The sequence below is a fragment of the Homo sapiens genome, chromosome 7, assembly GCF_000001405.40.
Source record: "Homo sapiens chromosome 7, GRCh38.p14 Primary Assembly".
Lineage (NCBI taxonomy): Eukaryota > Metazoa > Chordata > Mammalia > Primates > Hominidae > Homo > Homo sapiens.
In genome coordinates, this window is record NC_000007.14 from 80329202 (window position 1) to 80342252 (window position 13051).

At 36.4% G+C, this 13051-nt stretch overlaps 1 long non-coding RNA gene across 2 annotated transcripts; it reads right to left on the reverse strand.

The window, feature by feature from the left end:
- Positions 1-991: 991 nt before the first annotated feature.
- Positions 992-5752, reverse strand: LOC105375373 (uncharacterized). Of its 2 annotated transcripts, XR_007060401.1 has the most exons (5): positions 5522-5752; positions 4482-4563; positions 2385-2466; positions 2009-2167; positions 992-1326 (listed from the first exon to the last, which is right to left on the reverse strand). It is a non-coding gene; the product is annotated as an uncharacterized LOC105375373 (long non-coding RNA). The 2 variants fall into 2 exon arrangements; XR_001745251.2 differs by lacking the exon at positions 5522-5752 and having other exon boundaries at positions 4482-4920.
- Positions 5753-13051: the final 7299 nt, after the last annotated feature.

A 13051-nucleotide genomic window follows, 5' to 3' on the forward strand; every position in this document is an offset into this window, starting at 1 on the left:
CACTGCACTCCCGCCTGGGCCACAGAGCGAGACTCCGTCTCAAAAAAAAAAAAAAAAAAAAAAAAAAGGAACAAGATCATGTCCCTTGCAGGAACATGGATGAATCTGGAAGCCATTAACCTCAGCAAATTAATGCAAGAACAGAAAACCAAACACCGCACGTTCTCACTTATAAGTGGGAGCTGAACAATGAAAACACATGGACACAGGGAGGGGAACAACACACAATGGAACCTGTTGTAGGAGGGCAGGGGGGCAGGGAGAGCATCAGGAAAAAGAGCTAATGCATTCTGGACTTAATACCTAGGTGATGGGATGATAGGTGCAGCAAACCACCATGACACATGTACAAACCTGCACATCCTGCACATGTACCCTGGAACTTAAAAAATAAAATAAAATAAAAAGAAGAAATAAGATTATACAGGACAAATTACTTGGAAACTTATTAAAATAAGGATACTTCAAAGAAAAAGCTATGAAATGCGACTAAAGTTATAGTTAGTTTTCAAATATACAAACCATTCAACTTAAGGAGTTAGGAAAAAACAATAAAAGAAAATTGCTATCAGTTAGAGACAACGTATGTTTTTGCTTCTAATTTAAATTAAAGCCAAGTAGAGAGTAACAATTTAATTGTTCCATATATATATAAATGAGAATTTATAAGTAAGGATTTAATAAATATAAAAGATAAAATGAATGAGGTATGAATGATCTAAAAAACAAAACCAATAGCATTTGTAAAGTTAACGTGAATAAAAAGAGCTGTTAGATGATTTTTAAAGAACGGGCTTGGCAGCCAATATTTATTTATGTTTGCCTGTTTCTGTGATATTTTTCTATATTGCAGAAAACAAAGGTCCTTCTACGACTAATGAAATTCAATATCAAGAACTGGAAACATCTGAAGTTTTACCCTTCTTGCAAGCTATCATGTTAGTCTGCCACTGCTTCATGGAAGCTGCCAGAAGACATGAGACTCTTAGGCTAGATATTAATGACTTTATTATTCAGAACAGCAAAAACCAGAGTATCAGCATTTGCATTGGTTCTGGAAGACACAAATCTACAGGATAATACAAAGAAGTCTGGGTAATACCTGCACACATAATGGGGTGGGGTACAAGAGAGGAATTCTAAACATAGGGTACCTGAATCTTTTAAAATGAGCAGTAATTCTATCTGGTCTTCACCCTAGAGAGAGACATTTTCTCTGTCATTTGCTATATAAACATCCTTCAAAAGATAATTTGAAATAAAGTCAGTGAGTGCCTTCATTTGCAAGATGTCCAGAAATGTGAGAGACCCATGGAAAACAGTCTCCTAGCAGAAAAAAAGAGAAGGAAGCACAATTAGTGAGTAAGCAGCTGATTTGTAGATTTGTAGGATTATAATAAAGCAGATTGAAATTTTTGCCTGCATTTTCCCAATATTATCCAGCTGAATCACCCACTTTGATGCTGAAGGCAGCTGAGGAAATAAGTAGTGGTTTCTTGCAATTCCTTACTTCCCAATTTCTTGAATCTAACAGATCTTTGCTGTCTCTTCCAAACCAGGTTTTCAAATTGTTTTGTAAGGTTATAGTTTGCTTTATTAATTTTTTCTGGCTTATTATATTTAGTGTGTCTTTCACTTTTCTGACCAAACTCTGGCTGATATGATAGATAATGTAAGGATGTGGTTCAGAAAACAGATTCTCGCAGATGGGAATCTGTGATTTGCCCTTGGAAGGCCATAGTGACCCCATCATCAGTGGAAAGTAGGATACTAGTAGTTGAAAGAAAACAATGGCAAACAACTTGTGTTTACAGAGGTACGAAATACTAAACCAGAAATAGGATTTGATCATGTGGTTTGCAAACGTAAAAGGAAAATTAAATTCTTAATTATGCCAGGGCTTCAATGTAAAAGTTGGGGTATTGATTAAGAAAGAGTAGAATTCCAGGAATTGGGATGAAAACTTTTTGATGAATTCCAAAAAGTCTGAGGACTTCAAACTGCCTACCTCATTGATCCTTAATTTCCATCAGAAACAGCCCATCTTTTCTGTTTGAGAACATCAGTCTTCCTTCACCTGAAGATTCTAAATGACCTCAATGATGTGTCCTCTTGTAAGGCAATGACAATTTTATTCAATACCTACTACCACTCATTGCTTCCAGATCTATAATTAGAGGATGAAAACAAGACAAGTTGGGAATAACTACAAAGTCTAATCCGAGGGATAGCACATACACGAAAACAGAAACATTATCTTTCAAATTTACCTTCACACAAACCAGGGGAGGAATGTAGGGAGGAATGACTGTAAACGTTTTGAAGCAGCACACACACACAAAAATACCATACCAGGTACCACATTAGATTACTGATATGGGTACCTTTACCGGAGATTCTGGTGTGACTGTGACCTCAAGCAGGTGGGAGTGGTTCTCGTAGTTTATTCAGTCTGTTGATTTAAATCTGAACATAGAAGTGACCTAAATTAAATAAGGTTGAGGTGCCAGAATGTCCTTAGTTTAATGTAGACTAATGAATCTAAAAGCTTAAGGAAATAGGAATGATGGAGGGTGTTTTCATGGGAAACTCACATATTTTCCATTATTGTGTCCCTGAGGAGGATTTAGAGAACACTTCCTTCACCAAAGCTTTAAGAGATACCAGGGAAGGCAGATCCAGCATTGTTGCAAAGGTAGTGGTGGCTGTTCTTTGCAGGCAAGGAAAGACTGTGACAGATTAAGCCTCTTACATGGACTCATTGATTTTAAAGAAATAAAAGATCTCAGAATGACAGAAGCCGAATAGTAGCACTACCAACTGCCAGACACAAGGAGGTTCAATTACCATAAAGGGAAGAAGGGTACAGCAGAGTGGCTTGGCTGGGTCTAGGACTTGATAGTTAAGCAGCCTACTAACATTTTGTATAATATATACTTGATCTGGATATTTGATTGAAAAATAAAACTATAGGTTTAGTGATTAGAGATCTGAATTGAGTCACTACAAAGCAGAGTCACAGCCTCTCACTGAAATGCCATATTTAATCTAGTACGTAGATCCAGAACTTTTTGAATGAAGAACAAGCAGATTCCCTTTGGGAGAACCCCAACAAAATTACCATGAGTAGGTACTACGAATAATCCTTTTAGCCTTCCATCAACTAAACTATGGCAATTTCCCAGGGGACACCATGCATTGAATAATGCAAATGGCCAGATTTCTAAGGCATTTTTGGACGTAAGTCCCAAACTGACCCTAAAACATGGAGCTTCAAACTGCTACGGCGAGACTGGTCTTATTGTGATCAGGCAATACGTGAGATTTTGGCTGCCAATAATGTCTATCATGTTGGAATGTGTACTAATGTCTATTAAGTTGTAATAGTCATACTCAGCAACTGACAGAGTCCCCACATTGGGTTTCTGCCCTTTAGAAGACAGCCACTATAATAGGAAGGGAAAAATAGAAGCCGAGGGAGTGCTTCTCTCTAGCAAAGCAATAAATGAAAATTAAGGCCAAATCAAGGGCAGTTGCAGACTACTGCCACTATCAAATATGTGAAAATGCAGAGTAAATTTTTAAATATCACATTCCTATTTAACTCAACTATTTGTTTTGTGAAGAAGACATACAGATCTTGCAGAATCTCTGTTGATTGTCATGAAATTAATCAGGTGGTGACTCTAATTTTGGTTGCTGTTCCAGATGTGGTATCTTTAATGGAGTAAATCAATTTAGCTCCTATTATCCAGTATATAGTTAATATTCGGGTATTTATCTGGAACTTTTTAATATAATTTGTGAAAAACAACAGAAAACAATTTGCTTTCATTTGGCAGAGACAGTAGTATGTCTTCATCATCTTACCTAAGGACTATATAAACTCTTTCTCTCTCACAATAGTTTCTACAGGAAACCATCACACAGGATATAAAGTAGGAGGCTTAGTAACAGAGATATCTAGTGAAAGTGTATGTGAAAGCTCACAAAAACATTCCAGAGAAGGCTTTCAATAATAGTTGTACACAACCCATTCTGTGCAAGTCAGTTTGCCTCTTTTCTTAGTCATTTCATCACTGGATTCATGAATAAAATGGCCATTATGAAGATGAAGTCTAAACAAAGATTTTTATTCTGAGAAAGCTCATGTGGCAATCATGACAGCCAAAGAATGAAACAACCAATAGTGTAGACCAAACCGAGGCCCTGATATAGAACCATTTCCTAGTGTGACAAGTGAGCCAGTCAGTGGCAGAATAATTACTTTGGACCCCCGCCATTCTGGAAGGGAAGAAAACATTGCCTTTAGAAAAGATAATTTGGATATAAATTTGTATTTCTTCCCCCACATTGCTTTCACCAGCATCACCACCTGCGTATAATACCTTATTCTCTCACTTGGTATCCCACATAATATGGCTTCGGACCAAAGAGCTCATTTTACAGTGAAAGTAGTCACTCATATCAGTGAGACTTACTGGTGCTACCATGTACCACATTGTCTGAAGATGCTGTCTTAATGAAATAGCCCGATGGTCTATTGAAGAAACAGTACGTCACCTGCTGGGAGGACAAGAAGAGCCAACACATACACATAAAAGCTTGCAAGTCCAAGGTATCTTCTGACAAGATGTACAATATATTCCAATAGCAATTGATAGCAATAATGACTAATAAATACATGATGCTGTTTCTACAATAGTCAGGACACATGGCTTTGAGAACGAAGGGGCTGGAGTGGGAATATTCCCTGCCCTGTTACCTCAACAATGCACCCAGTAAAAATTTTGTTTTCTCTTTCTGTAACTTTGAACTCTGCTGGATTATTGAGTTTAATTCTCACACACACACACACAAAAATGGTTCTATTCAACTGGAAACTGAGAATTCCATGGAACCACCTTGAGCTCCTTATACCACTGACTCAATGGACAAGGGAAGAGTTAAAGGTCTGAGATGATTGATTCTGATTATTAGGGGAAAATAGGGTTGCTAGGGTTGCTTTTACGCACTCTTAGCCATTACTACTAATGCCTATTGCTGCTGTTGCTACTGCTGCTGCTAATACTACTGGGAACACTTTAGGAATAATATTTAGTCACCCAACCAGGTAAAGAACTGCAACCAGACCAGAAATGCCAGCTGAGAGACAAGGGGCAAGAACTAGATACTGGAAGAAGGAAGTTGTAAAACCCAACTCCAACCTCATGGCTTGTTGCTATGTGTATTTTCAACTCTGCTTTGTTTACATATGTACATGATGGCAAATGTGGACTGAAACAAAAAGTTAAGATTAAAAAGATATTATTTGACTTGCATAAAACTGAATAAGTCTAAAAGAAACTAAATAATTAAGCCTTCAAACAATGTTGTTTTTAAAGTTTGTAGCATTTCCACTTCTGAAATTATTAAAGCTTAAACCCTCACTACGATTTTGGGGCTAACCTGTTTTCCTTGTGTATGTGTCTGAATTTATGCATATTAACCAAATGACATTTTTTCCTCTCTCTTACCTTACCATTGCATATATAATGTGTGCTGTTGCTGGTGGTGATCCTTCTAATTTAGTTGTAAAATATCAAAGAGGGATTTTATGGTAGGTATGCATATTTTCTTCCCTGCTTTGTTTTGCATATATTTTTATGAATAAATTAATTTTTCTCCTCCTTCTTTTTCTCTTTCCTGGGCAGGGGAAAATAAAGTTATTGACATATTTCCAAAACTTCCACTGGATGTCCTTGTTCATTTTCTCCCAAGATCTGCAGGAACAAATGCAAACATTGGCTACAGGAGAAGAAATATTCCACTCCTCACTTGAGGGAGCTGTAATCTGTTTTCCTGTTGCATCCTTTCCCTTAAATGTTTTTCCAGGGTGTTGCAGAGCCACAGAACCCTTGGTAATTTTGCCAAGAACAAATTGTGAAGTAGCTTCTGAACCCATTACCTACTAAGATTTTATTGTTCATCTTAATTTTACAAAATGTCCATTCTTGGCCAAAACATTCTCTTCCTTAAATAACAAGAGATTGTGTAAGTAATTCTTAGAAGGCTCAACTGTATAGACTCCCTTTGGCCAGAGGGGCAAATCCTGGATTGAGTTTTTGAAATATCTTTTTAAAAATTATTTATTGCATAACAAATTAAAGAGGGCCTATAAGTTTTTTTTTTTTTTTTTTTTTAACAGCTGTTGAGCTATTGCTCTTCTGTGATAAAATCCCGTAGAAGATTTAACCTGCTATGGATTTCTGGGAGGTCACAGGGCTAAGTAAACTCGGAATTTGGGGTAAGCTTTTTCAAACAAAGTCACTGAATAGATGTGGATGAGGAAAAAAGCTTGTGAAAGGCATCAGGCACTGCAAACAACAGCTGCAGCTGCAAACCGGAAAGCATTCATATCCCTGTGTGACAGTTTGCTCCTCAGCCTTCCTAGGATTAGGGTGTGCACGCAAACAACACAGATAACACGAGAAAGAGTCGTTTATATCCTTACAATGTTTGCATTTATGTGCACGAGGGTACAAAAGGTGACATAGAAACATATTTGAAACATTGCTCTGTGACTAAGAACTTAGTCTTATCATTAAAGTAATAAACTGTGTGAACTGCCCTAATTTATGCTAAATCTCTCAGAAGCACCAAGCAGCTCAGCTGTTGCTGCTAGACCTCAGCACCTTAAAGATTGGGGATTCCGTGCTCTCTGGTGACAACCCTTGAGGACAAAACAGGCCTATTGGAGAAAGCCATTTATCAGAGCCCTCCTTTGACACAGGGATGCAGGGTGTTTGGACTTCAGGGGACTGCTGTGGAGATGGAGGAGAAGGAGAGAAAGGATAAGTCTACCCTATGCTCTAGAGAAGAGACAGCTGGCTACATATTCTTTCCAACCACACTTGTTCCTACTGGTAGTGCAATCAGGAACAATCTCTAAAATCTATTGCTGCGTATCTAGTATCTGCTTTGAGACATGGAGTCTAATTTTTTGTTTGCTTGTTTACATAGTTTGATTTCTTTTCTAATCTGATGTTAAATAACATCTATAATTTTGCGCTTAAAGTGTAAATTATCACATAAAGAGAACAGTAACAGGATTTCACAAACACTTGTTGTTCTGTCTTATATCAAAATAATATAAAATACTAAGACCTTTATATTAGATATCAGTATGTAGACTCTCATTATTTTGGTATGTAATGTACATTTTAGAGCACCTACCATAAGAATATGATAAATCATGTTGAAATAAATGATTTTTAAGAGAAATTGACATATGATTTTAAGCTAAGTGTATTTCAATCATATTGTATTTTTTTTGCCTAAAATGTTTTATTTCCTTTGTCACCATAGTGAAAAATTATCAGCAAAATATATCTACTGTTATTATAACAACCATGAAAACATTTCCAAATTTATTTTGCCAATCTCTTTAAGGGGCAAAGAACATTCACATTTAAAATATGATGAAAACAAAGTTGCTTAGCTTTAAGTGAAAACTTAACCACTTCAAGAGCAATGATCATACAGAGTATGTTAAGAAGAACTTTTCACTGAGAGACAAAGAAGGATTTTGTCTTTCTAACTTAGTGAATCAAGGGACAGAAATGGAGAGAGAGGCAAAGAAGGATTTTGTCTTTCTAAATTAGTGAACCAAGGGATAAAAATGGAGATTTTAGAAGAGAAAGTCACACTAATTCTCTGCAATTGGAGGTTTCCCAGAAATACATCTGGGAAATGTATTTCCCAGGCCTGAGAGTCAACCTCTTGTAAGTCAGTGTTATATGGTGGTTACATCATCACCTCATCTTCATAGATGCAATAACTTGGTGGAAATTTGGGTATGATTAGATATTTTTCAATGAGTATTAGTCATGAAAATAACTTTTAAAAAAATTAATAGATTTCAAAAGCAGTTTTAGGTCTGTAGGGAAAAAATGAGCAAAAAGTGCAGAGAGCGCCGTACACCCCTTGCACTGCCACCGAGTTCCCCTGTTCTTAACACCTTTCATTAGTGTGGTACATCTGTTACAGTTGATGAGCTAATATTGATATGTTATCTTTCACTAAAGCCAAAATGTGCCTAGAGTTTACTGTTTGTGTTGTACATTCTATGGGTTTTAACACATGTAAAATGACCTGTATCCATCATTATAGTATCATACAGAATGATAGCTTTCACTGTTATATTGCATTTTCATTTAATATTTTTTAAACAATTTACTGAACACATTTTGGGTTAAACCAGCTTTCATGTTGTGCTGAAAGTTCTCCAATTGTTCTTCCAGATTATTCATTTATCTCCTTTCATCCTGCTCTGTACCCCTGGTGGTGACCTCTACAGAATGCATTACTGGGACTCTGCCGAATTTGGGTAGTTTACTCAGTGAAAATTATCAGCAGGTGATCAGAGGAGGGGAGGAGAGGGAGGTCAGGGTGTTTACTCCCTGCTCCTTCCCTGTCTATTTGGGTTCTTTCTTTCTTTCTTTTTTTACTGTACTTTAAGTTCTAGGGTACATGTGCACAACGTGCAGGTTTGTTACATAGGTATACTTGTGCCTTGTTGGTGTGCTGCACCCATTAACTCATCATTTACATTAGGTATTTCTCCTAATGCTACCCCTCCCCCAGTCCCCCACCCTCGTGGCAGGCCCCGGGGTGTGATGTTCCCCACCCTGTGTCAAAGTATTCTCACTGTTCAACTCCCACCTATGAGTGAGAACATGCGGTGTTTGGTTTTCTCTCCTTGTGATAGTTTGCTCAGAATGATGGTTTCCAGCTACATCTATGTCCCTGCAAATGACATGAACTCATCCTTTTTTTGTGGCTACATAGTATTCCATGGTGTATATGTGCTACATTTTCTTAATCCAGTCTATCATTGATGAGCATTTGGGTTGGTTCAAAGTCTTTGCTATTGTGAATAGTGCCACAATAAGCATAACGTATGTGCATGTCTTTATAGTAGCATGATTTATAATCCTTTGGGTATATACCCAGTAATAGGATCGCTTGGTCAAATGGTATTTCTGGTTCTAGATCCTTGAGGAATCGCCATACTGTCTTCTACATGGTTGAACTAATTTACATGCCCACCAACCATGTAAAAGTGTTCCTATTTCTCCACATCCTCTCCAGCATCTGTTGTTTCTTGACTTTTTAATGATTGCCATTCTAACTGGTGTGAGATGATATCTCATTGTGGTTTTGATTTGCATTTCTCTGATGACCAGTGATGATGAGCATTTTTTCATGTGTCTGTTGGCTGCATAAATGTCTTCTTTTGAGAAGTGTCTGTTCATATCCTTTGCCCACTTTTTGATGGGGTTGTTTGTTTTTTTCTTGTAAATTTAAGAGCTTCTGCACAGCAAAAGAAACTACCATTAGAGTGAACAGGCAACCCACAGAATGGGAGAAAATTTCTTCAATCTACCCATCTGACAAAGGGCTAATATCCAGAATCTACAAAGAACTATTTGGGGTTTTGGCAATGACTGTGTTCCTTTACCCATAGCTACAGCAAGCCCCTCTTCCACAGGTTCGGCTCGTACCTGGTTCTAGAAACAGCTCCTTCCTCTGTCCTCTGGGGTCTAGGGGTGGTAAATTCTTCCTGTTGTGACTAGTCCTTGGGTATTTTACCATCTTTTGTTAGTTTCTTTATGCTGCCCACACTTTTGTAAATAGACCCTTCAATAAGTTCTTTTCAATTACCCCTTGAGTCTGCATCTGTCTCTGTAGAAAGAACACACACCTATTTCATTGAATTTTTACAATACTGTTAGAAATTCCAGCCTGTAGACTTAACTTATTCTCATTTTATATTATGTTTAAAAATTAAGGTAAAATTGAGGCTTGGGAAGATTAAAACATTGCCCAATATCACAGACTAAATATATCTTGAGCCAGGGATAAGAATCAGGACTTAGGGGTCTTCACTTCTTGTATAGCCATCTCCCCATGCACAATAGTATCTGGAAAAATGCTTTGCTATTGTGTGGTATGTTCATTATTATGCAAAAAAAAAAATCAATAAGAAAGAAACTATCTATTTTGGAAACAGTGAGTCTGTAAGTGAACTGAATAATTTAGAAAGTGATGAAGTAATACATATGTTAACTAATTTAACTGAGCCGTTTCACAAGTATACATATTTTAGAACATGTTGTACATGATAAGTATATACAATTTTATTTGCCAATTAAAAAAAACAAATTTTAAAAAGTGATGTGAATATTGTGGAGGTCCTTTTGTATTTTGTCATTTTCTGAGATTTTGGATGAGAAGTGGAAAATTTATTAGCATACATTTACATATTCATGAAAGAATATATTTTACACATAAAATTCATTGACTTTTAAAGGCTTCTTTTCAGGTCCTTAATGGTTTGGATAGGTTATTTTATACCTATATTAATATTAATATGAAAGAAAAAATATTTGATTTGTAGAGATGTTTTACTGAATGTAGAAAAATCTCATATAATTTAAGATTAATAGGTATTTTGAAAGAATTCAGCACATTAATAAAACACTGATCAAATAACTAAAGCCTTGGATTTCCACAAAGCACTGACATTGCCCCTTGTAATAACCTAGAGCCAAGATGGAGAAATATGGCTTAGGTTAGACGAAACAGAGATTCGAATTAATTATTGGGCAGTGAAATATAGGGGATGAATTCAATAGATTGGATTGTTGTTAGGAAAAATAGTTAGCTGGAACTCTTATGTAGTGAGTCTCACCCTTGGTCATACAGGGGAATCACCTGGAATACAGTGGAATACCAATGCCTGGATCCTACCCTGATTTAATCATATTGTAGCCTGGGCAATGTGATCTTTAAAAACTTCCTGGTGATTTTGATGTGTAACCAAAACGGAATTGAAGAAGAAATCAAAGATAGATTTCTGGTATTGACAACATCTACAGTATGTCCTGAAGAGGGGTGTGTGTGTTTGCGTGCATGTGTGTGTGCCCGTACATGCACAAAGCATTCTAGACGCAAACAATGGCATAAAAAAAGACATGGAGACTATGATGTATGCGGGAGCCACAGCTGAATTTTATTATTAGAGAGTAAATATGTGGCCAATATTAAAACTTAAGAGGTAGGCTTAATGCTTAGTTTCCTGTATTCTATACTGAGGACAACAAAGAGTCACTAACATTATATCTGAAATGCATTTTAAAAGTGCTCCCTGTGCTGTAGTATGGAGAAATGGTTTGGAAGTAAATCACATGACATGCAAGGAAACCATTTATGGCATTTTAGTTTAGGGCATTGGTGGCCTGGATTAAAGTGGTGATAGCAGTGATGGAGAAAAGCAAATGTACTCACAAGATATTTTGAAAAATTTGGTGACTGCTGTGGTTTGAATGTGTCCCCCAAAGTTTGTGTGTTGAAAACTTAATCCCCACTGTAACAATGTTGGGAGGTAGAAGCCAATTAGTGGTGATTAGGTTGTGATGGCAGAGCACTCATGAATGGATTAATGCCATTATCACAGAAATGAGTTGGTTATCTTGAGAGTAGGTTTGTTACAAAATCTAGTTTGGCCCCTCTTGCTCTTCTTCTCACCCTCTTTTGGCATTCCACCTTCTGCCATTAGATGATAGGGCATGAAGGCTCTCACCAGATGCTGGAACCATGCTCTTGGACTTTCTAGCCTCCAGAATCATGAGCCAAGTACATTTCTGTTTGTTATAAATTACCCAGTCAGTGATTTTCTGTTAAAGCAATGCAAAGCAGACTAAGACAGTGATGGAGTGCATATGAGGTAAAATACTGGAAGGAGTCAACAGTGACAAATATTCTTTCCAGAGTATCAAATTTCTTATACTATAATCTAGCACTTCCTGATAAGAAAATCTGGGAGATTCATTATCTCAAAACATATTTAGCCAAAAATCAGGGAATGGTGTTTATTGCAGTTAAATTGCACTCTTAGCTTTTAAACGCCATTGATTAGAAAGAAAAAGTTATAAATTAACATTGTCGCAATTGACCCGTATACATCATCTTGAGATGAGTGGAGTTTTCATGTACAACAAAAAATTATTGCAGGTGCACAAATGATGTATGCATTTAAAATCTAACTCAATTAATTATATGAAGAAAAGAAATATGCTTTGTCAAATTTTAAAATAAAACTGATATATGTGTTTCATTTTGCTTTCAAAATGTCAGTTACAGCTCTCTTTAAGGAACACAGTGGTGAGAAAACACAACACTTCAAAACTCCACTAAGAACTACTTTGTAGAAATGGCAAGTTTAAGAGCAGAGTATTTGACAAGGTTCTGGAAATCCTAAAGGAAAAATATCCAAATATAATATCAAAGTGAGAAGTGAATCTGAGAGATGGATGTTGCCATAATTTTCAATGGTAACTCAGCTCCCTTAATAGATTCTTTATGAGCATTTGGAAAGAAAAAGTAATGGTTATAGTTAGAAAATGAAAATAGTACATTTAATTCTCCTGGCTCAATATATAGTAAAGGTATTGTGGATACACCCCTTGCCTAATTCAATCATTGACTTATCTGGGCTTCACCACTCATTACAATACATTGAGGTATTCACATCAATGGGGCTAATTTGTATATAAATATATAATTCCATATAAATTGTAGGTTACAGCCTACATGGAGATAATAGTTATGAGATTATCTATATTTTCATATATTGTTTTATTTTTTATTTCAATTCAACTAGATGAATATGCTTTTTGTCATCCTTGAGGGATACATTAAACTCATTTTCTCAATATCATGTCCTTTCAGTTATATAACTTCTATGCCCAAAATACTGTATCAGTCATTGGCTTTCCATAAGAATATTATGGCAGGTAAAAACCAAAACTATTGACTCTTAGGTAGATTTATGTGGTGATGATTTCATTGGTGATGTTCTCCCATTTAATATCATTTTTTGGAAAGCTATCTCATTATAGCTCGTGTGTATGTGTCTGTGTGTGTGTGTGAGTGTGTCACAGAGAGAAAGATGTGAAATTTGCTGAAAAATTTCTCCATCAAAACTAGAAAGAAGATTCTGAGATGG